Genomic DNA, 24,309 nt, shown 5'->3' on the forward strand with positions numbered 1-24,309 from the left:
GGCATGGTGGCTCATGCCTGTAATCCCAACACTTTGGGAGGCCAAGGCTGGCGGATCAGCTGAGATCAGGAGTTCGAGACTGGACTGGCCAACATGGTGAAACCCCGTCTCTACTAGAAATACAAAAATTAGCTGGGCTTGGTGTCATATGCCTGTAATCCTAGCTACTTGGGAGGCTGAGACACGATAATTGCTTGAACCCAGGAGTCAGGGGTTGCAGTGAGCTGAGATTGCACCACTCCTTTCCAGTCTGGGAGACAGAGTGAGACTCCGTCTCCACAAAGACAAAACAAAACAAACCACAATGGAGCTGTTTTCCAGTAGGTATGTGGTTCTGGTCTGAGTATATATTGTTCATTGGCAAATTTCTCATCCTTAAGTGTTCATTTCAAATGCTGCCTCTCTATATAGCTTTCCTTGACACTTCCTTTTCCCATAATTCATTTATAATAATAATAATTATTTTACAGACAGGGTCTTGCTCTGTCACCCAGGCTGGAGTACGGTGGCGCAATCAAGACTCACTACAGACTCACTACAGCCTCAACCTCCTGGACTTAAGCAATCTTCCTGCTTCAGTCTCCCAAGTAGCTCATTTATTATTTGTCTGGGTTATCAGTCTCTGTTTACTTACCACATTGCTATACTATATCTCTCTCCTGTGTTGAATCAAGTTCCCCAAAGATATTTGGAAAAGTTACTTAATACTTGTGATTATGAACTGGAAATGGAGGTAAAAGTCCTTGCTCCATTTTTACCACTGGGCTTTGTGAAGATTAGATGAGTTATATATTACAGTGTCTTACAAACAGCAAGTAGAAGATGGTGTTTTTCCCTGTCCATTTTAGCAGACCAGTTAAGCAGCCATTGTCCTGAGCATCTGTGTAGCATCCCCACACTGAGATGTCCTGAATTCCCTAGTGGGAAAAGAAAAGTTCACTTTTATTCTTCAACTTCTTCAGCACCAGAACCTTCCTTTCAGCATATTCTTCTGCCTCTCCTTACCGAAGTTCGTAAGCTATCACTGCTCCTGTGCAAGTGGGCTGTCTTATGGCTGCATCCTCTGTGGTCCCAGAGGCTGAAGATGAAGGAACCAGGCAGGGCCTGCCCAAAGCAGCCCAGGGCTCCCTAATGCACCAGACATGGCCTGAGTTTGGGAATTGCAGACCAGGTCTCAGGAACTGCACTGCTTCCCCAGGTGCTAGGCAGTCATTTTCCCACTCCTCTCCATTGCACAATGGGGCTTTTGAACACTGGCCTACGTCAGTCTGATGGACATGGTGGGTCTCTTGTTCTAGGTTCTTGCACAGAGCATCAAGGTCTGAAGAACTTGGCCAAAGGGACTCCAACCCTGGGGCTTCTGTTTATTCATGCTCTTGGGCTTAGCCATTGACCTCCAATCCCAGAAGCACTAGGCCCTGGCAGCTAGACTCACAGGTGCTGCCAGCATCAGCCTCATGCTTTGCCTCAGCCACCCCTCCCCGAACTCCTCCTTTTAAGCCTGGCCTTTCTGCCTAGACTTCTTTCCTTAAAGCCACGTTTAGTCAGCCATGTTGCCATTTTCTGGCACTGGGCCTTGACTTGGGACTTTCAGGTTAACCACAGCCTGAGTCCTTAGCATAAAGTCTTGAAAACCAGGAGTTCTGGTTTCTGTTCCTTTCTTTTGAGAAGGCTTCAAATGCACATTGAGCCGCCATTTACATACCAGAGATCTCAGTCACAAAGGATTTGCTTCTCTAATCTCTGACTAGGGATACCTGTTCATCCTGTATTTGCTTAACTAAGTTGCCCCTTCGATGACTGCATGTAGAAAAGAAGGTTATCTTCTTTTGATTAAAATTACCACACCCAGTGTAAATATGACACAGTTGACTGTAGGGGATCTGGAGGATATAGCCTGGATTCGAGTGGTGGCTTGGCTTTGTATACATGGGCATGTGAATTGTGTGGAACTTACTGGGACTTTCAGCCCTGGAGATGGTGAGGAGAGCAAATAGCTGTGGATGCAGGGAAAGAGACCTGGTGTAGCTGTGAAATAACTCTTCAGGTGACCCTGAGCAGTCTGCTTTTCTACCTCAGCACCTTGCTGTTGTAGGCTCTCTGCACCCACAAATTGCTGTTATGTGGGGGATTCTGACATCATGTAGAACAGTGGGCCAGGTCGCTTTGGGGGATAACTTCCAAGTGTGAGATTCTGTGACAATGACAAGATTGAAGCTTTCCATCTCTGTGATGTAGGGAAGGCAAACCCTAAAATTGGTGCTTAGCCCTGGAGGGTTCTTGGCTTTGCCCAGGAGAGAATTCAAGGGTGAGCTGGTGGTGTTAGACAACAGCTTTTATTGAAGTGGCACTGTATAGCAGCAGCAGCAGAGATGTTGCTTCTTGTGGTATGGGGCTTATCCCATAGGCATTGTGCCCAGAGTAGCAGCTCAGAGGCAGGTCATATTTATATATGTTTTTAGTTACATGCAAATCAAGGTGCAGATTATGCAGAAATTTCTAGAAAAAGGGTGGTAACTTTCAGGCCATTGCCATGGAAAGGGGTGGTAACATCCAGGTGCTGCTATGGCAATGGTAAACTGACGTGGCACACTGGTGGACGTGTCTTATAGAAAGCTGCTTCTGCCTCGTCCCTGTTTTAGCTAGTCCTCAATTTGGTCCAGTGTCCAAGCCCCACCTCTGGAGTCGAGTCCTGCCTCCTTCTTCATATGCACGAAACAGCCTTTTAAAATCCTTAGTTCTGTCCAGGATTCGGCACACCATAGATATGTCACTTAGGATTTTCCCTTTTAGTCTTCATCCACAGTTATCCACTCTTTAGCTTCTTCTGGTTTACTTATTTTGCTATATTTTCTTCTCATTCTAGCTTTTAAATCGAAAAGACAAGACTACCTTTGAGAAATTGGACTACCTGATGTCGAAAGAAGATAATTACAAGCGGACACGGGAATATATCCGAAGCCTGAAGATGGTTCCAAGTATTCCCTATCTAGGTAGGAGTTTGAATTGGCTTATTTTTTTTTAAGAAACCTACTCGGTGCCAAATAAGATGTTTTTACAGTTTCTACCTGAAAAATTTCCAGGAAGCGACATGGCCCGTAGATAAAGAGGCAATTGGTTGGCTCTTTGGGTTGGAACAGGCTGTTGGTACTTCCCAAGGTTGGAAACCTGGATTAGGGTGATATACAAGTGATGTTCTGCTTTTTATATAAAAGACCTGTGGGCCCCAGGGTTCCCCAGGCTGCAGCCCAGATGGGTCACAATGAGAGTGATAAGACTCGTACTGGTTCATCCACATCCTCCTGAACTGGGGCATGTCAGGCACAAACCCTCTGTTCTGGTTCTCTGGGCATTATTAGTATATTTCATATTTGTACAAATAAAATTATAGTAATGTTTATTTTTCTGGTTAGAAAATAATGCATGTTAATTGTAAGGAATTAGAGAAAAAAGTTAATATCTTTTGTTATCTCACCTAAAGATATTTGCTTCATATCTTATTGATTTGGGCATATCTAAAATATGTATGCTTACTCTATCCTAAAAATGTTATTTTTATCTTAAAAATTTTATCTACTTTTCGATGCTATGACTCATTCCCATCAGATGGATTTGTCAAACTCGAATCTGCTCTCCAATATTGACCATTTAAGGCAGCAGCCCTCAACCTTTTTGGCACCAGGGACCAGTTTCCTGGAAGACAGTTTTTCCACGGATGGAGAGTGGGCTTAGGAGAGTGGTTTCAGGATGAAGCTGTTCCACCTCAGATGATTACTCTGAGGAGGAGCACACAACCTGGATCCCTCACATGTGCAGTTCACAGTAGGGTTCGCGCTCCTATGAGAATCTAATGCTGCCACTGATCTGACAGTGGGTGGAGCTCAGGCAGTAATGCTTGCTAGCCCATCGCTCACCTCTTGCTGTATGGCCCAGTTCCTAATAAGGAGTTGGGAACCCCTGATTTAAGGTATTTCTACATTTTTGCTATTAAAATGTCTCAATGAACGTCCTTATTGCAAAAACTTTCTACATGTAGTTATGATTATTACCTTGTGATAAATTCCTAGAAGTGTGCACAGCTTCAAAACGTATGCAAAAACGTATGCCTTTTCATGTATATTTCCAAAATGCACTCCAGAGAAGTTGTGTCAATTTGTACTTTCATCAGAAGGGGATGAAATTGCCTGTTTCTCCCACATTACAAATACTATGCTTTTTCATGGTTTTCCTTTTCCTTTTTCTTTCTTTCTTTTTTGTCTTTGCCAATTTGATAGGTGAAAAATACTTCTTGTAGTTTGGATGTCAGGGTTTTGCCAGTTTTATGAAAAAATCTTTTGATCTTTTATGATCTAAAATAATTCTAATAACAAGGGAAACCAACATTATGTAGAAGTGACTCCTGATATTTGCAAGGGATCTAGTGCAATTTTTTGAAGTTACATTTTTGACAATTTTAAAATTTCTTTCATGAGCATTGTTTATTTAGATTTTCTTTCTTTTAATTAAAAATTAATTAGAATATTTAATTCTTTTAAAGCCAACTTGGAAAATTTGTTTTTTAGTAGAAAATTGTCCATTTGTTCCAGATTTTCAATATTACTAGCATAGTTTTTTTCTTATTTAATTTTTTGACAATATAATATTCTCTTATAAATTTGAATCTCTCTCTCTCTCTCTATATATATATACACTAAATACTAAAGCAAGTATAACTAAAAATATACTAAAACTAAAAAATACTAAAGCAAACATATATATATATATATATGGTTATATTTGCTTTAGTATTTCTAATAGTTTAGTATTTCTCATACTTTGTATTTTTTGTTTTCTTTCTTTTTTAAAATTTACCTCCTTGCCAGAGGTTTGTCTATTGGTCTTTCCAAAGATTAAATTTTGGATTTGTTTTCAGTCACACTGTCTTTCTGCTTTTTAGTTTACTGTATTTTATCAATCAAGGATGTGCATTTTCTTTCCACATTTTAACACTTCTGAAATTGGGATACATCTTGCAATTGATAACAAAGCATTGTGACATTTTTTAATTGGCAGCAGTTTTTCTTAGTGATACATAAAAAAAGACACACCTGATAAAAGGTGACATCTTAAACATAATGAAATATGGACTTTCCATGTTTGTCTCTTATGATTCATCTCTCCTGTTTTCCTTAAGTTGTTTCACCATTTCTGTTAACTACTAGAGTTGAATTACTGGTTTATTTGTGTATATGTTTTTTTTTCACTTTAATATAGAAAACAGTTAAGGCTATACATTTTCCTCTAATTACTGCTTTTGTTGCATCCTACGTGTTTTGGTGTGTAATAGTCTCAGTGATATTCTTTAAATACTCCCTATAGTTTTAATTTTTCTTTTATGCAAATATTATTTAAGACAGTGTTTTTTTCATTTTCAAGGGCTTAGGCTTTTGTTTTTATTTTTAAAACAGTTTACTGAAATATAATTAATACATAATCCATTTAAAGTGTACAATTCACTGGTTTTTAGTAATAATCACAGTTGTGCAAACCATCACCATGATCAGTTTTAAAGCATTTTTATCACTCCATAAAGAAACCCCACGCCCATGAGCAGTCATTCGCATTTCCCTCTAGCTAACCCTCCTCTCCCACCTTCAGCCTTAGGCAACTATTAATCTACTTTGTGTCTCCACACATTTTCCTATTCTAGAAATTTCATATAAATCCAATCATACAATATGCTGTCTTTATGACTGGCTTCTTTCTCATAGCATCATGTTTTCAAGGTTCATCCATGCTAGAGCATGAGTAGTACTTCATTCCTTCTTATTGCCAAATAATATTCCATTGTACCGATGCACCACGTTTAATTTATCCATTTGTTTTTTTAGACAGGGTCTGGCTCTTTTGCCCAGGCTGGAGTGCAGTAGCATGATCTTGGCTCACTGCAGCCTGAAACTCCTGGGTTGAAGTGATCCTCCCGCCTCAGCCTCCCAAGTAGCTGGGACTACAGGTGCACGCCACCACGTCCAGCTAATTTTTTTGTATTTTTTGTAGAGACGAGGTTTCGCCATGTTGCCTAGGCTGGTCTCAAATCCCTGAGCTCAAGCAATCTGCCTGCCTTGGCCTCCCGATATCCATTTATTTGATAAACATTTGAATTGTGTCCATTCTTTGACTATTATGAGTAATGCTTCTATGAATGGCTTAGGTTTTTAAAAACATAGTTTTCTCTAATTTTTGAGATTTGTTTTGTGGCTTAATGTAAGATCGGTTTTTATACATGTTTCATGGTGCATGCTGGAAAAGAAGGTGTAATGTCTCAAATTAATCTATAATTGCGTTGTAATGTTCAAATTATAAATTTTTGACAACTTGGTCTATCCAGAAAGAAATATATGTTACAGTCCCCTTATATTTCTAGTAGTTTCTGCCTTACATATTTAATATATAGAAATTTGTAACAGTTGTAGATTCATTGTGAAGTACTCCGTACAAAGTTATCTTGGTTCCATTTGTTACTTGCTTTTACTTCTATTGTCTGATATTAATTGTGTGACATCTATTTTATTTTTCATTTGGATTTTTTTGCCAAGTGAAGACATTATTTGTATTGATAGATAATATTTTACATATTTAAGGGTCACGTGGTATTTTGTTACATTCATAGAATGTATAATAATCAAGTCAGGGTATTTGGGGGTATCCAGCACCTTGAGTATTCATCATTTCTGTGTGTTGGGAACATTTCATGTCCTCTCTTTTAGCTACTTCAAAATACACAATACAGTGTTAACCATAATCACCCTACTCTGCTATTGAACATTGGAACTTATACCTTCTCTCTAACTATGTTTGTATCCATTAACCAACCTCTCTTTATTCCTCCTTCCCACCCACACACACTTCCCAGCCTCTGGTATCTATCATTCTACTCTCTGCCTCCATAAGATCAGCTTTTTTAGCTAGCACATATGAGTGAGAACATGTGATAGTTGTCTTTCTGTGCCTGGCTTATTTCACTTAACATAGTGACCTCCAGCTGCATCCATATTGCTGCAAATGACAGGATTTCATTCTTTTTATGGCCAAGTAGTACACCATTGTGTGTGTGTGTGTGTGTCTGTGTGTGTGTGTGTGTGTGTATAATATTTTCTTTATCCATTTATCTGCTGATAAACACTTAGGTTTATTCCATATCTTGGGTAAGGTGAATACTGCTGCAATAAACATACAAGTACAGTACTGGTTTCTTTTCCTTTGGATAAATACCCAGTGGGATTGCTGGATTGTATGGTAGCTCTATTTTTAGTTTTTCAAGCAATCGCTATACTGTTTTCTGCAGTGGCTGTACTAACATACATTCCCACCAACAGTGTGTAGTTCCCTTTTCTCCACATTCTTGCCAGCATGTTATTTTTTGTCTTTTTAATAATAACCATTGTGGCTGGCCCAAGACGATATCTCATTGTGGTTTTGATTCATTTGCATTTATTTTATAAATCTTTGGCTATAGTTTAGATTTTAATTTTTTATTTTATTATTATTATTTTTTTGAGACTCAGTTTCACCCTTGTTGCCCAGGCTGGAGTGCAGTGGCGCCGTCTCGGCTCACTGCAACCTCTGCCTCCCGGGTTCAAGCAATTCTCCTTCCTCAGCCTTCCGAGTAGCTGGGATTACAGGTGCCTGCCACCATGCCCCGCTAAGTTTTGTATTTTTGGTAGAGACGGGGTTTCACCATGTTGGCCAGGCTGGTCTCGAACTCCTGACCTCAGGTGATCTGCCTGCCTCAGCCTCCCAAAGTTCTGGGATTACAGGCATGAGCCATGGTGCCTGGCCGAGATTTTAATATTTTAAGTTGCCTTGATTTAGTCATGATTCTTGCAAACAGCATTTAGTTGGACCGTGCATGAGAAGCCTTGCCTTTTAGTAGGGGAATATACCACTTTCATATTTGTTTCACCTTATGCCATAGATTGAATTCTATTTATTTCTTTTTTTCATGCTTTTGCATCTTTCCTTGTTTTCTTCTTTGGCTTACCATAAACTGCAGTGTCTTTCTACTTGGTTACTGGCAAATCCCCATCTCAGGTCTGCAGATGGAAGGCATGTTGCTGTGCAGAGCTCCCAAGTCCATTTCCATCACACCTGAGGCTCATCAATTGAGAGACAACGTTGATGGTACTACCGTGAGGGTAGCCTAGTGCAGCCCACGGGTTCCACTAGCAGAGGTGTTCCAGGGTCATTAAGGATGGCCTCTTTTCTCGAATAAGGATGATCATGAGAGCTGCTGTGCATTGTTTGCTTTCTCTGTGCCTAGCACTTTGCTAGGCATTTGAATGCATCATTTCACTGAATGCGCACAATAGCCCAGTGAATAAGCAGGCAGTGAGAGGTTGCCTAAGGTCACATAACTGGAAAGTAACAGAGCCAGGACTGGGCCCAGATGGCCTGGCTATAAGCCCTAAGCTCTTGACACTGCCCTCTCCTGATTCCCCACCCTATTCAGGTTATTATTTTCCTACACACCCTTGTGGTTACCACCTGTGTCCTCTGGCTATTTATGACTTGTGGGTGGCCCCCATCAGGCACTGTGTGAAGGGTATAAATTATTGCTCCTGTTTCTTGTGACATTCCCTATTGTGGGACCACAAAGCAGTGCAGTCTTGGGCTTCCAAGGGCATTGGTCAGCCTGTGCCAGCCTTCAGGCCTCTTGCCCCTCAGAGTTTCTAGACAGATGCAGCCCCCCATGTCCTTGATCACCTCATCTCAGCTGCTGCTTCCTGGCAGGTGCTTCCCAAGAGGCTCCATGGAGGCCTCCATCCTCCTGCATTCTTCCTGCTTCTGACTCTAAGCGAGTCCAGCTGAACTGCTGTGGTCTTATCCCTTCAGCCTTATGATTATTTTCCTCTCCCTTTAAACCAGGTGGACTACATTTCTTATGTTGCATCTGACATATACAAGTCAGAGGGAGAGAAGAGGAGGTGACTGCCACCTGCTCTCTGTTCTTGGGATAGTGTATGAGGGTTTACCATGGGGTGCCGTAGTTTGCTTAAAAAAGAATGAAGCAAGACCTCCTGAGGCAGCTGGGAGTTCCACCTGCATGCATGTCTGGTTGCCTTGGACATACCCTACCCAAATCCAGGTTGTGTATTCTTCTCAAAAATGCAACCTGTCCCAGGGACAGATTTGTTTATTTAAAGAGGAATAGTTATATAATTCCTGGAAAGTACAACATAGGAAAAAATATCTGAAACCATTTGTTTTTTCTCTGGCAAAGTCCTCACTATAGGTCTTTTCCCCCTTGGGGTGAGAGGAGGCTGTTTTTCTGGGAGGAACTGTAGGTCAGTCCCTGATACTTCAAGCTGCTTTGTTACTTCTGTTGCTTGAGACCGTGAATGCTGCTTCAGCAGTTATTTGTCTCTAATAGCAATTATGGGCTTTATTTTTGTAACAATTCTTTTAACCCTCTGTGGAAGATTCTATATGCTAACTGGTCTCCTGTGACTATTCACATATGTGTCTCTTTGTTCCATGTAAAGATGCCTTTATGTAGTACTAGCCTTTGTTACTAACCACATGGGTGTGATTCTGACTCCTTTTAATGCAAATTGTAGAGCCAGTTGGCTGTACTTTGGTGTAGTGAGTTCCTGATGAAACATAATTTTAAAAATACTGAGGGAAAAATGTATTACATTTATAAAATAAGACTCTTTGAATCAAAAAGTTTCTTGCAGATTACTTCAAAGTGTGAAAACAGTGTTGAGAAATAGTTCAATTATTTGCAGCTGATTTTATCTGATAGCAGCTCCTTGCAAATACCCGGTTAGATTGGAATGATAACAAAAGCAAGCAAAGAGCTTTGAAGAATGTCTACATCATTTGCTTATAAATAGCTGTATTGATTTAGGGGGTGTTTTGTTCTTACTACTTATTTCCTTCAGGAAATAACTAAATTAGAAATGTGATGGATCTTAAATGGTTTAGAGCTGATTCTAAAAGTAACCATAGCAGTGTGGAAAATTATGATCTCTCAAGGAACAAAAATTAGGTATTCTAACACTTCTGGATAGTAAGAAAACATTTGGAGACATTCTTAGTAAATTTACCCAGACTTCTAACATGTGAAGTAAATTTCTAGAACGTAAGTTATTCCTTCAAACAAGCAAACCTTTCCATTTTTCAAAAAGTAAGACTTTATTTGCAAATATAAATTCTAAAGTTTAAAATCAAGACAAATTTTTCCAAATATAAAATCAACAGGGCTAAACTGTTGGATATCTAAAAGGGCTTTCAAAAAGAAGTGATCATTGGTCAAAAAAAGTGTTTACTCTGATGCCCCAAAGCCTCCCAGTCAGACACCACCCCTGCCCTCATGGAGCTCACAGTCCAGTTGTGATCACCAGCACTGGACAAGAAACTGCAAGTGAGCTGAGCATTTTGAAGGAAAAGGCAAAGGAGCAAACCAAGGGGGCCCCAGCTAGTCTGGGGGAACCAGGAAGGGCTTTCTGGAGGGAAGTAGAGTCCTGAAGGATGAATAAGCTGGGTGAAGAGGTGGGAAGTGAGCATTTTACACGAAGATGACAGCTTGTGCAAGAACCCTAAAGTGAGGAAAAACATGTTTGTTAGAAAAACTGGCCGGAGAGTAGTGAATGAGGGGGAAGGTGTCATGTGGAGCAGCTGCAGTGGAAGGGAGGGGAAGATTGCTTAGGGCCTAGACATGGGAGTCAGGAGGGAGTGGGGAGCCCAGGCTCTGACCAACCTAGAAGCAGGAGGGAGCCATGAAAGGGTTTTAAGCAAGGGCATGCTGGGTTGGATTTGCATTGAACACACCTCACCTTGGCTGCAGCAAGTGGCTTTGAGGAGGTCAGGCTGGAGGAGTGAAGGCCAGTTAGGGGATCCTGTAGAAGCCTGTGATGAGTCACTGTATTTCAGAAATTTCCAGGGAGGGGGAAGGCTCTTTAAAAGCAGTTCATTTTAGAGCAAAGCCTTGGAGAGACCTAAAACAGTTGTCAGAGAGTATATCCCTTATACCTGATGAAGACACATAGCATGTCCTTGTACTCTGGTTTTGAGAATCCATTTGTGCGTTTCAGCTGTGGGACCCCTTAAAGCAGAGAGGAAAGAGCAAGCAAGGGTGGGATCAAGCCAAGGATGCGGCAGAGCTGCTGCTTCCCTGAACAGGGATATGAGTGGTGGCCGTTGCCCCCTTGATGGGGGCCACCACCCTAGGACCAAGGTGCAGTAGTTCCCTTGTCAGGATTAGCAATAATGTTAACTGGCTGTCCCTAGGTTGGCCAGCTTTTAATGCCCAACTGAAAAAATTCCATTCCACATGCAGGAAATCCAGCCTTTTTTTCATTTCCCCTCCCCACGTTTCCAAGGTTCCCCAAGGAGCACTCATTTGTTCCACAGATCCATCCTGGTTGTTGCTTGGTGCCTCAGCCAGCTGCCTGGCCCCAGACTTCTGAGCCCTCCCGCTGGTCCCCTCCTGCATTTCCCAGTTGGACCTGTGTGGAACCAGGCTGCTTCCTTAGCTGGAAAAGGAGGTATCTGTCAGTCCACAAAGCAAAGCTTAAGGCTGGATTCTGGTCTGCCTGCCCATGGAGCAATAGACCTTGTTCCTTTTTCTATTCTGCCCTGATGGCCACATGCTACAGGGGCCAACTTGCTGCCCTCCCCACCCCCAGCCCAGGAAGCCTTTGAACAAATCTCCCCTTCCCTAAATCTAGGCATTCAACCCTCTCTGGGATCCAGCAAGCAAGGAAAAGCTTCCCTCGACCCCAGGCTCAAACATACTTCCCAGTCAACAGAATGATCTCAAAGACGCTATCCCATCCAAAATGAAGGAAACTATTTCCATGATTTTGAAGAGTGGTTAGCTACATTTTGTTTCAAATCTCTCCCTTCCAGAAGGGAAGAGATTGCCTTTACTTTTGCAATCTCCGGATTTGTTACCTTAAAATTCACATTTTTTCTGGGACTCTGTAGTCTTTCTCATTTGTTACAAAAGGCCAGTGGATGTTATTAAAACCCATTTTATGAATGAAGAAAAAAAACATAGCTTGACTCATGACTTACCCAACATCATATCCCAGGCGGATACCAAGTTTAACTCAAGATCTCATGCTTACTGCTGAGGTTCCACCCAGCCTTAACTTACGCATCCTCCTTTTAATATCTCCGTCTCCATGGAAATAAACAGTAGAAGGAAAACATGTGGGGGCCAAGAAAGGAGCACTAGGTGGAAAGTCTTGTTTTCCGAATGCTTTGCTGCCCAGAGCGGGAGAACCTTGTCCCATTTGTCCCTTCTGGGGCAAAGGGAGGATCTGCAGTCAGCTTTTCTCTGGGTCAAGAAGTTGTGTCTGACCCTGCAAAACGAGGTATGAGCATAAGCCCATTTTGTGCAAGAAAAAGTGTTTTCATGGTAGGAATCTTTATACTCATTAGGATGACTATTCCTCTTTGACTTCCTTTAGTTTTTTGGATTTCGAATTAGAAACTAACACTAATTACAAAAACTCATGTTTACTGTTTTACTATGTGATTGCACTGCATTATCTCATTTAATCCTCTCAACACTCCTTCCTCTGAGGGAGGCATTATTTTTGTCTTATTTGCTAGCTGCAAAATATGAACAAGATTCACATTAAAGTTTACACACTAGTAAATGGTGAGATCAGTGCTTGTATCCAGGTCTGACTCCAGTGCCCCAACCACTAACCTCAAAATATGCCATGTGTTCACCAGAACAGGCCTTTAACCTCTGGGTAAAACCACACCTGAGAAGGAAAGTACTTCTAGGGACTCTTCCTGTGTGGAACAAGGAGACTTCCTGGTGGGAGGTCCTGGAGAAGCACATTGACTCATGGGTGGGGACAGAGTGGATTGAGTGGACACTGGTCTTCTACTGACGCATTCTTATTGTCCTCTTGTACCTGGGCTGGCCCTAATAAAGAAAAGGATTGGGACAAAGGAAAGACTGGGGAGCTTCTGCATCCTCAAGACCAACCTGGAGCCATTGGGATGTTTCATGTAGTAGACAGCTCTTCAGATGGCCCCCGATGATTTCTGTTCCCTAGTATTTGTATCCTTGTATAATCTCTTCCCCTTGAGTGTAGGCAGAACATAGTGATTTGCTTCTAACAAATATGACAGAAATAATGGGATGTCCCTTCCAAGATTAGATCATTAAAGACTATCCCTTTATGTTGAGTGCTTGCCCTTTCTACTCTCTTTTGGATCATTCATCCTGGAGGAATCCAGCTGCTCTGTGTTTGGCAGTCGTGTGAAGAGGCCCGTGTGGCACGGGATTGAGACCTGCCAACAACCATGTGAGGGAGTTTGGAAGAAGATTCTGCTAAAAAGGCGAGCCTTCAGATGAGACTGCAGCCCCAGCCAATAGCTTGACTGAAGTCTCATCACAGACCTTAAACCAGAGACACCCAGCTAAGACATGCCCAAATTCCCAATCCACAGAAACTGCAAGACAATAAATGTTTATTGTAAGATGCTAAGTTTCAGAATAATTTGTCACACAGCAATGGATAACGAGCACATTGCACAACCTTTATCACTACTCCACATTTATTACTTTGTTGACCAATCTGTACTGGGACAAAATCAACTGTAAAACTCAACACATAAAGGACTACAACACTGGCCTCTAGGGCAACAGGACGTGCTGGACTCCTCTCGAAAGCTAGTTTTGAGGTGGGGGGATTCGATAGGCTAGAGAAAGTGGTTGCTGCTTTGAGAGGTGATGAGTTCTTGCAGTTCTATGAGAAAGATGGGTGCCTGGGGATGACTGATTAGGGTCTGAGAGGGCCTGGAATGTTACCCTTAGGAAGCCTGTTGTTCCCTGATGGAGTATACAGTGGGCTCCTGAGTACTCAAGGGAAACAAAGATATATCCTTTTTTGTGACCATCCAGAAAGGCATTTGGTGCCCACTCATTCTTTTAAAAACTTAAATATTACAAAAGTAACACATTGCTTGTTGTAAAAATTATTCACACTGAAAAGAAGTTTATAAAGTAAAAAGTGAATGTGCCATTCTTCTTCTCCCACTTTCCAGAGGCAGCCAGTGTTTGCAGTGGGTATGTGTTCTTCCAGACATTCTTATCCACAAATACAAAAGGACATGCCTGTGGAGGGGCACATATGATATTGTGCTTTTTAACCAAAGTGGGAACATTTTATATGTGTTGTTTTGCACATATAAACTATCATAGATATTGTACAGTGGCAGCAAATCTAGAACTCCCCTGTTCTTTCTGGTAGCTCTTTGACACCCACAGATGTATGGGCAACGTGTTGGATATCGCCTGGATGAGTGCTGATTTGTCTAGCTGTGTCCCAACTGATAAATATTTAGACTGTTTCTAGTTTTTCCCTTTTACATATACAAGTTGAATATCCCTAATCTGAAAATCCAAAATCTAAAACATTTTGAGAGTCAACATGATGCTCAAAGAAAAGCCTCACTGGAATATTGTGGATTTCAGATTTTCAGATTAGGTTTGCTCAACAGGTAAGTATAATGCAGATATTCCAAAATCTGAAAAAGTCTGAAATCTGGAACATTTCTGGTCCCAAGCATTTTGGATAAGGGATGCTCAGCCTGTAGTGCAGTGGGGAGCATCCTTATCTGTGTGTCTTTATCCTCCTGTTAAAGTACTTCTGAAACACTGAGTGCTGGAAGTGGAATTGCTGGGGCAAAAACTCTTTGCAACTTTACAGTGCCTACTGCTGGAATGCCCTCTGAAATGCTTGCAGTTATATTTCTGCAAACAGGATATGAGTATGCCTATTTTTTCCACTCTTACCAACACTAGATATTATCCACCGTGTTTTATTTATGCTAAAATGATAGGCACAAAATGGCATTTTTTTTTAAATATACATTTCTCTGCCCACCAATTCTCTTGGGCTCTAAGATAGGTAGCCAGGCCTTCAGGCCTCCTACCCAACTGATCAGCCACCCTCTGCCCTTGCCTCTGCTTCCTGAATATCTATCCTTATTCCATCTCCCTGTGTTCCTACCACAGGCCTGCACTGCCCTGATTGATGAGGAAAGGCTGCCTTGCTGTTGGGTTCCTGTGGAGAGGAGGCTGACCTAAATCCATGCCCTGCACACTTGCCTGGGCATTAGTCAACCTTCCAGGCTTGGAGAAGGCTGTGTGCTTCTTTTAATCGTTTTCCCTTGTTGAGATGACGAGGGCGTAGGCCTCTGTCATCACATGGCCCCAGAAGGGAATTCTAATTCCACTCCCTCCACATTAACTATCCTTCTAGGCTCTGGGCCATTCCCAGCTCTGTTGAGGCTCAGGGCAAATGTGGCCTGTCTTTCCTCCTCCAAGGAGCCCTCTCCTGGTACTGTGAGCCCTTCAGCTTCAGGATGTGCTGCAGCAGTGGGGAGGGAACATTCCTTGACCAGCCCTTGGAGCTGGATTTATTAATATCATGACCATCAGCAAGCACAGCATGGGACAGGCAGATGGCCCACCCACCTAGGAGGTGCCGCATGTGGCAGCGCTGTGGGAATGCCACGCAGATGGGAGAGATTGTCTGCGTCTGGGCTCCCAGTGTGGGCTGAGCTGGCCCAGGATGGCCATTCAGGAGAGACACGGATATTTGAATGTCTCAGGGATGGCTGGTATTGAAACATCATGTCCACAGAGGCAGAATCCCAGACTAGGGCTGGTTCAGGCCTGACTCTGAGGTTTGAGAGAGACCTGTAAGCAAGTGCCAGGCCTGGAAGCATGGATATGGGAGGTGAGCCACCACTACTGGAACCCAGTTACCAGATAATGAGGACCAAGGCTTGAACCAGGTAGATTTGGTCATCTGGTGACTGCCAGAGCATCCACAAGTAGGATGTTCGGAGTAGCAAAGCAGGGGGGCTGATGAGTCTGTAAGCTGTAGGACAGTTGGCAAGAAGAGGAGCTGCAGCCTGGCAAAGGATTGGTAGCCCAGGGAGCTGTGGAACATTCTCCAGCACTGCCCCTTGTTACTCCGTGTCCATTGTTTGAGATAAATTAGGCAGACAGCTATGGACTGGCTTCCTGACATCTAGGGACCTTCTGGTATCAAGCTGCTGCTGCTGCATAGGCAGGCTGGCTGGCTACCTGACATATCCACTCCTGCTGTGGGCAGGAGGCTCCATATCACCGTGATTCTCAGATGTATTACTGAGTGATACGGGGTGACATAGGAGCTGTAGTGTGATCTCACTTCCTCCCTGGGTATAGTGATCGATGCTGTAGAGGCAGGAGCTCAGGAATCAGACTGACTCGAGTTCACATTCTGAGTGTCAGGCTGCATGCACTTGGGCAGCTCACTTACCTCTTTGATGTAAGTTTTCTGTTACGTTGAAGAGAGAGTAATTATAGAATCCACCTCGTAGAGTTGTTGTGAGAATTTAAAGAGCCATGCATACTGCCTGGCACATGGAAAGCACCCTATAGATGATGGCTAGTATTAGTGCTATCCACATGAAAATACAGCTAAGAAGACCCTATCAGTGAGAACCCTGTTGCCCCCTGTATCCCTATTGAGAAACACAGCATACCCAGGAAGGGCAGCGTACCCAGGAAGAGGCCCATCTGGGCACAGCCAGGTGTCATGTTAGTTAGCCACCTGGGCTTAGAAGGGTTGGATGTGATTTCCGGGATAGTGCAGGGGTCAGCAGCAGGAAGGGCTGGGGAATAGGATCCCATCTGATGAGTAATGTCTGGCTGGCAAAATATGGTCCTGGAGAGGATGGGGACCAATAACATCTGGAGTGTAGTCTAGACACCTTTTTGGATAGACACCCAGCCTGTGACCCCTCCTTCTCTGGGAACCTACTTCCGCTGCTTCTCCCTTGGCACTGCACGCCAGCAGCAGTGTTCCTTCCACCTAGCTCTGCTCCACGGGCAGAGCCCATAGAGTTGGGGTGGATACCCAGCCTGAACTGGGCCAGTTGGATCCTCTATCTGGGAGCCAGCATTGGAACATAGATATGCTGGCACTCAGATCAGGAGGACGTGAACTGAAAAATGCCATCTGGTGCCATGTGCCAGGACAACTGCAGAGAATAGTCCACAGATGGATGCTTGATGAGAAGCAGAGAAAGAGACCCTGCAGGAAAGGGAAAAGGAAAGAGCAAGGGAGAGGGGCTGAGAAAGTTGCTGCCTTGCATCTTGAAGGCTTTCCAGGCAATTTCTGGTTCCTGGCCCTTGTGAGGCCCAGCTGTGTCCCTGCCCATGGACTTGGGGAGATACCTCGTGTCCTTATGTAACCAGCTTATTAAATGAGCTGGACTCAATCAGGTGTAAGAAGAAACCAAACTCATTTTTTCCCCAGTGTCCTTTTGAGCCTACTCTGTGGACTTTTCTTTTCCCAGTCAAAGCTGAGAACTTAGCAGGTCCTTTGGTCTTTGAGGTGCTAGGCATGAAGCAGCCCAATCCATTCTAACACTTCCTCATTCCAGACAGTCCAGTGTAGTAATTGCAAGTCTGGACTCCTAAAGCTGACCAGCTGTGGAGGTCTGGAGTGGGGGAAGACAGATGGTCAGCTTGTTTGTTTGTTTGTTTGTTTTGAGACAGGGTCTCATTTTTTTTTGCCCAGGCCTGGAGTGTGGTGGCATGATCTTGGCTCACTGCAGCCTCTGCCTCCTGGGCTGAAGTGAGCCTCCCACCTCAGCTTCCCGAGTAGCTAGGACCACAGGTACATGCCATCTTGCCAAGCTAATTGTTTAATTAATTAATTAATTAATTTTGGTAGAGATGGGGTTCTCACCATGTTGCCTAGGCTGGTTTCAAACTCCTGGGCTTGAGCAGTCCTCCCACCTCGACCTCCCAAAGTTCTGGGAGGCGTGAGCCACAGCACCTGGCTGACACGCAGTCCACTTCTTCGCTGGATCCCGGCCAGTCCCACTGCCTCCCCAACCTGTTCACTGAAGTTTCTGGCCCGTGGCAACAGGGGAGGAAGAAGGGAGAGAGAACGGCCCATCTTTCATAGCTGTTGGTAACTCAGAGCTCGTGCTCCCTCCCTGGAGTAATGTATAGCTCCCTCCCTGGCTCCTGTACTTCCTGCCCTGCCCCTACCCCCACCATCCAGGCAGCCCTCTGGTCCTAGGAAGCCTGAATTTGTGCCTCGGTGGGCTGGCCTTGTGCTGTCAATGTGGGCCCCTCTTCCCACTGCTCTTTGTGCCCCTGGGCCTGAGTCAGACAGGAGTGCTTATGCTGTCCCATGCCAGGCTGTGGGAATGGTCCCTTGAAGTCCCTCTCACTTGACTGAAGGTGGATGAAAACACCCCTCTTCCTTGTGGTAGTGGGGACACGTGAAGGACAGTTCATTCTCCCCTCTCCAGGACCTTCTTTCTATACTTCTCACACAGTGTCAGGGAAGCCATCAACTAATGCTGGAGAGCCAGTGCGGGGCCATGCCCTTTGCAGGGATGATCTTGCAGCTTTTATCTTGTCCTTAGCCTTTGAAGTCTCAGATAAAAGTGAGGCAGAAAGAGCGCCTTTTAGACATGTTGTTACACTTAAAAGCTTCCCTTTTTGGCTTAATCTAGTCATGTGGGTTTCTCTTACTATAACCAGAGTCTTGACAAGTCTGTGTGAAACAGATGAGGGGGTCTTGGGAGATCAGAGAGGACACCTTGAACCTCCTAAGAGTGTCTGTGAACTGTGAGCATGGTACACTCCCATTACCATTGTTTTCAGTAATGTGAAGGTTTCTCTTTCAGTCTTGCTCAAATTGGCAAGATTACGGGGAGGGGGTCTTTTTCAGTGTCACTTGCTCAGAAAACATCACTGTCTTCTGGCCCTGTTCACACAAGCCCAGCAGGTGGGTGCCGCTTGTCACCCAAGAGACCAAGGTATTGGCTAAAACTGGGATGCAGGGGTTTGGCTGGGGCAGGAGAAAGTCTGGGCTTCATTGACTTCCTTCTGGGTCTGCAAATGCAGTGCAACCACCATGGCGAACTTAGTAATAGTAGGACTCCTGTGATTGTAGTCCTTAAAAGGTCACTGATGGGATAGGAGAGGATGGTCTGGTTGGCAAGACCCCAGGATGCTGACTGGCTGTCTTTGCTGGCAGGTAGAGCAGTTCACTGGGTACCCAGGCTAGGGTGCTTGGACAGAGCCCTCCTGCCCCATGCTCTTCTTCCATGCCACCAGCTTAGTGAACTGACCCCTACCTTTCATTTTCTCCACATCTCTGATGAGCTTTTTCCTTCCTCTCCTTCTATATAGCCTGGGTGTGGTTTGATTAAGATTCAGTCTTGGGTATTGAGATGGGGTTTGGGAGAAATAGCTGGTATCATGACCTGCTTTCATTTGAATCCTAACTAGTTTAGAAAAAGGATGGCTCTGCAGTGTCCAGCAATGGCTTTCCAGAGCTCTCTGTTTGGGGTTTTGGAGCCAAGACCAGTGACCAGTAAGGTTGGGCCTTGTTTTCCTTTGCTCTTGTTCCCTATGTCCCACACACTCCACTCCAGATGTGTGTGGAGGGGTGACTATAGTCTGGGCCAAGATTAAGATATTTTCCTCAAATAGCATTCAGATTCCACTGTGATCCCAACAACTGACTAGGGGCTTAGGAGAAGGGAGTTGAGAACTCTTAATTGATGCCTGACACCCAGCACCTTCTGGATTAATTGCTGCCGGGGTATTCTTACCAGCAGTCTGACTTCAAGCCTCATTTCCGCCTCTTTTGTAAACTGAGAATAATGATCCCTCCTTCACAGAGCTTCTGTGAAGGTGACGTAAAATGCACACGCGCACACGGACACACACACACGCCTGTTTCTAATCACATGGTAGGCTTCAGTGCGTATCAGTGCATCTCTCTCTAACTGCAGCTTTACTAGAAAAAGCTATCATATGGTTATGCCACTTGGTCATTAGGTAGAAGGATTGCTGGGGCCCAGGGTATAAGTGCATTTACAATTTTGATATATACACTGGCAAGTTACTCTTCAACAATATGGAGTCAATTTATATGTCCATCCATAGTGCACACATCTGTCCATTCCCTTGTCAACATGGAGATTGACATTTTTTTCATCTCTGCCAATCTGACAGGCCACACGTCATGGTTTATCCTTCACTTATAGCACCTCTCTGATTACTACTGAGGTTGACATCTTGTTTACTGGCCATTTGTGAGTCTTCTCATGTGTACATGTACTTTGCCAAGTTTTCTGTTACAGGATTTGCATCTTTCTTAATTTGAAAGAGGTTTTAGCATAGCACGAATATTCTGTATTTGCTATATATGTTTCAAATATGTTTCTCTTGTTCAATATTTGCCTTTTAATCTTGGTCATGTTTTATTTTTTTGCTTTGTTTTTTGGAAAGCAGAAAATTTGAGTTCTGAAAAAAGTTGTATCTTTTAGTCTTTTCCTTTAGGTTTTGGGGTTTCCTGTCATGCCTAGAATCACTTCCCAACCCACAGATTTGTTTTACAAGGAGACAGTTCTAGCAGCTAGGGTGGAAATTGGACTGGAATGAGGGAGATGGAGACTCCTGGTCTGGAGCCTGGTGCAGTAGTTGAAGGGAGAGGAGATAAGATCCTACGCTAATGCAGGCAAGATGGCTTGGCGTGGAGGGATGGATTGTCCTTGGCAGGGGAAGGGAGAGGTCCTTGTTTTTGATCTGAGCAATTGAGTACCTGGTGCCATTTGGTGAAAAGGGACCAGACCTGGAAGAAAGGTACGTCAGGTGTTAAGTGCACTGCCCGTGAGGTGCTTGGAGGATATCTGGTGGAGACATCCAGGACACAGCTGGATGTGGGGAAGTGGAGCTCCAGAGAGCCATCTTGGCCTGAAGTACTACTGTGGTACTTCTGAGGGTATAGGTGGTAACCAGAGATAGGGTGGGTGTGATTTAAATGATTCTGGTGTGTGTCCTGGTGCCGAATCTCTTCCTGGTTTTACTTAAAGAGGCTCTGATATGGGAGGCCCCAGGAAGGCATTCTAAAACAGTAACACAGAGTGTAGATACATCCAAATAGCACTGATGGCTTTTATTGCAGATTCGTGTCATTACAAGGATAATCTGGGAATATATTTTTAAAAAAACCCTCCCTTTTATATACACAAAACATGCTACATGGTACACTTTGTGAGAAATGCTGAGGTAATAGGCACACACCCAGACATGGACAGTACCAAACATCCAACATCTCACACAGCCTGGCCCACGTGCCCACCGGGAAGGGTCTCACCTTCTTGACTCATCCCTTGCCCCTTCTTGGCAATAGTCCCGGGAGTGCTGAGGCTGACACTTGGTGGCCAACAGGACTCAGAAAGCCACCATGCTGCAGTGCATCAACCAAGGGGTCCGGTGACCCCTGATTATTCAACTCCTGAGAAGTGGCCTGTTTTCATTTTTGTGGCACTTGTTCTCCAGGGAAGTGTAGTTTGGAGATGAGATGCGGACTCTAGTCAGCCTGAGAGCGTGGAATCTCTGGTCTGTAGCCATCTGGGGGCTCTGATGATCTGATGACTTCTGTTCTGAGATAATTCTCCTGGCCAGATAGGTTATTATTTGTGTGAAGACTCAAATGACCTGTAGGTTAAAGTATGAATGGAAGATACAAAACTGCGAGTACATTATCTATACGGCCGGTGGAGCTTTTGGCCTGGCCTTCCCTTCCCAACCAGAAACCTGGAGCCCGGAGTGTTTCCTACTCAGAAGCTGAGGAATCTCGCCTGGAAAGAAGGGGCTGTGCGACAGAAAAGGCAAGGAGTAGGTAGGCGAGGAGTACAGCAGAGCGGAAAGGGGGCCTTGAACTGCAGTGAGTGGCCAGGGACTGACACACAGAAGGCACTTAATGAATGGTGTCAAATGAAGGGATAAGTGGGTGATGGATGGTGAAAAGTCCTGAGAATGGGGAAAAGTATGAAAATGTGGGGGGAGGGATTTTGAAATTTGATTAGGTGCCAAAAGGGGTTCTTAAGAAGCTGGGAACCTCTATGTGAGAGATTAGCATTGTAGACATTCTGGAAGAATCCAGGCACACAGATGCCAAGGGTGATCCTTTCAGTTGAGACCACACAGTCTGTGATCTACCCTTAGACTCAAGTAATACAACACTAATGAAATGCTTTTCTCCTAAGAGCAAAGCTGCTGGTGACAGCTTCAACATCTGAGAACTGAATATATGTGTATTTAGGTATCTAAGGCAAACCTATATATGGATCTAGATATATCACATGTGATGTATATCTAAATGCATATATATGTGGTATACACATACGTGCACAAGGGAGGCTCATACACATGTATATTATGAAGGTACTTTGCAGTTGTGTTTTTATTGTAGAGACTTAATTTATTTAAAGAAAGAGTTGTCTGTAGTCCTGTCCTGTCCTGGAGACATGAGGGGCTGTCTGGTGTGAAGGAAAGTAGGAGGGACAGAAAACACCGTATCGATTCAGTTCCATCATCCGCTGCAGTGACTTCGGAAAACAGAATCCAGCATCCCGGTCCTCCCAGCCTCAGGATGAACTGGTGAGGAGTTGTTCTTTGTGCTGTGGCCAGCGTGACCAGGGTGGGCTCCTGGCAATGGCCACGAGAGGTCAGGAGGGGGAGCTGGCTTAGTGGAAGGTGTTGGGGTTCGGTCGGATCATCATCACCACTTTCTTGAGTGAGTAAGAGCCTCCTCGGAACTCAGCCCAGTAGACTCCGTCCTGGTAGCGGCTCCGGTAATGGCCCCCGCGGTACCAGACCCCGTTGAGGTTGGAGTGGGCACAGGCGTTATACCACCAGCCTCCCTTCTGGTAGTGGGCACAGTTTCCTGCAAGAGAGAAGGCAGTGAGAGGGTGTCTGGGAGGAGGCCATTCTACTTGCGTCCATAGTGCTCAGGGCTTTCGGCAAAGCCCTCTCTGGGAGGCATCTGGAGCAAGAACGCTTGAAAGGTGGACCCGTCTCCATGGGTGGTGAGAGGCCATGCTTCAGGCCCGCCTTTGAGGCTCAGCTTTGTAACTAACTAGCTGTGTGATCTCAGACAAGTGACTTGACCTCTCCCAGCCACTGTATCCTCATCTGTAAAATGAGAATAAAAATGACGCCTGCCGCACAGGGCGGCTCTGAGGATTGAATGAGGATGCGTACTTGACACCTAGCCCAGGGCTGGGTGCAAAGGAGGCCCCAAGGGAACTCCACACCTTGTGTTCTGATAGGAAATGGAGATGGCCTGAGGTGGGCGGGGAGGGAGAAAAGCTTTTTCTTAGGAATTTTTGAGTTGAAACTGTTGGATCAGGAGTCTTTAAAGAATGACAAAGAAAGTGTTTAAGAAGAAATGCTCCTCCAGTCCTCCCCAGCTTGTATTCCATCCAAACAATTTTTTGTATTACTTCACAAAGGAAAGATATTTCCATAAAACTCTTGGCATTATCACATCATGCTGAATTTTGCTGCCAAGGACAAGCAGTTCAGAACAACAGTAAAAACTGTGGGAAGGTGTGCGCGGGCATGCAGGGGCAGTGCACTCTGTGGCAGGAGGACAGGGGGCCACTATCTGCCAGCATTGCTCTTAGTGAAGGGGGGTCCCCACTTTCCTGACTGGGCCTGGCAAGGGGACCCCGTACTCAGGGGAGGGGCTGCTCCAGTCAGAATTGTGGGTTGGAGGGCCCAACAGAGCAGGTGGCCGAGGCCGTGGGATGAGGTGAGGAGGTCGCACTCAGTCTGAGGCAGAAAGCAAGAGGGGAGGTGGAGCCAGGTTTTCCCAGAGTTTTTCTGGGGGTCCCTCTGGGCCATGATTCCAGGCCACAGGGACCAAGTGGCAGTGTTGGACTGGTATAGCAGGGAGATCCTTGGGCACGCCATAACCAGCCTCCTCTTTGCCAGCGGAGGTCCCACACACCTCCAGGGACAAGGACCTTGCCAGCTACTGATTTTGCTGCTGGCTAGATCTGAGTTTGGATCATAGAATACACTTTCCGCTCCCTAAGGAGGTGGCCCTCCAGAAAGGCTGTAGCAGCCCCTGTGTCCCAGGGTCTGACCAGCTCTGAAGGTTATCCTTCTGCCCTGCTCTTCTAGAAGCCTCGGCAGCCCCTACTGCTTCAGAATGAGGGCCTGTTCCTCTTCCAGGGCCCCTTCGGGCCAGGCCAGTTCAGTGTCAGTGGGCGGACAGAGGTGTCTGTGTGATACAGGGATGGGCAGGTCATGTCCCTCCTGTCCCCTGATGTTGGGAGAATTACCCTTCAGAATGTGGCTGCTATGGGGACCTGGCATGAGGATCCCCTCCACCTTAGTATGTAGGTTCCAGGGCCTGCCTGAAGTACAGGCCATTTGTAGGACAGTCTTGAGAGCTCGCTTCTCAAGTGGGA

General features: G+C 44.8%; 2 protein-coding genes across 56 annotated transcripts in view, besides 1 other annotated feature; one reads left to right on the plus strand and one right to left on the minus strand.

The window, feature by feature from the left end:
* The window catches only part of RALGPS1 (Ral GEF with PH domain and SH3 binding motif 1), a 308,385-nt gene that overhangs the window by 151,582 nt on the left and 132,494 nt on the right, over positions 1–24,309 (plus strand). For all 55 annotated transcript variants that reach the window (XM_011519233.2, XM_047424120.1, NM_001322321.2 and 52 more), the window contains one exon: positions 2,867–2,993. In XM_011519233.2, coding sequence (XP_011517535.1) covers positions 2,867–2,993 — 127 coding nt within the window. The remainder of the gene's footprint in view (positions 1–2,866; positions 2,994–24,309) is intronic.
* Positions 840–1,340: an enhancer, noted in NCBI's record as "H3K27ac hESC enhancer chr9:129829482-129829982 (GRCh37/hg19 assembly coordinates)". NCBI's record gives its function as "activates a minimal SCP1, AML or CMV promoter by ChIP-STARR-seq in naive H9 embryonic stem cells {active_cell/tissue: H9 hESC(naive)}" and the evidence as "EXISTENCE:reporter gene assay evidence [ECO:0000049][PMID:30033119]".
* The window catches only part of ANGPTL2 (angiopoietin like 2), a 35,288-nt gene continuing 31,963 nt past the window's right edge, over positions 20,985–24,309 (minus strand). The window contains exon 5 of the mRNA NM_012098.3: positions 20,985–22,775. Within this exon, the coding sequence (NP_036230.1) occupies positions 22,576–22,775 (200 nt within the window). The 3' untranslated portion in view covers positions 20,985–22,575. The remainder of the gene's footprint in view (positions 22,776–24,309) is intronic.

Source organism: Homo sapiens, chromosome 9, assembly GCF_000001405.40.
Source record: "Homo sapiens chromosome 9, GRCh38.p14 Primary Assembly".
NCBI classification, from domain to species: Eukaryota; Metazoa; Chordata; class Mammalia; order Primates; family Hominidae; genus Homo; species Homo sapiens.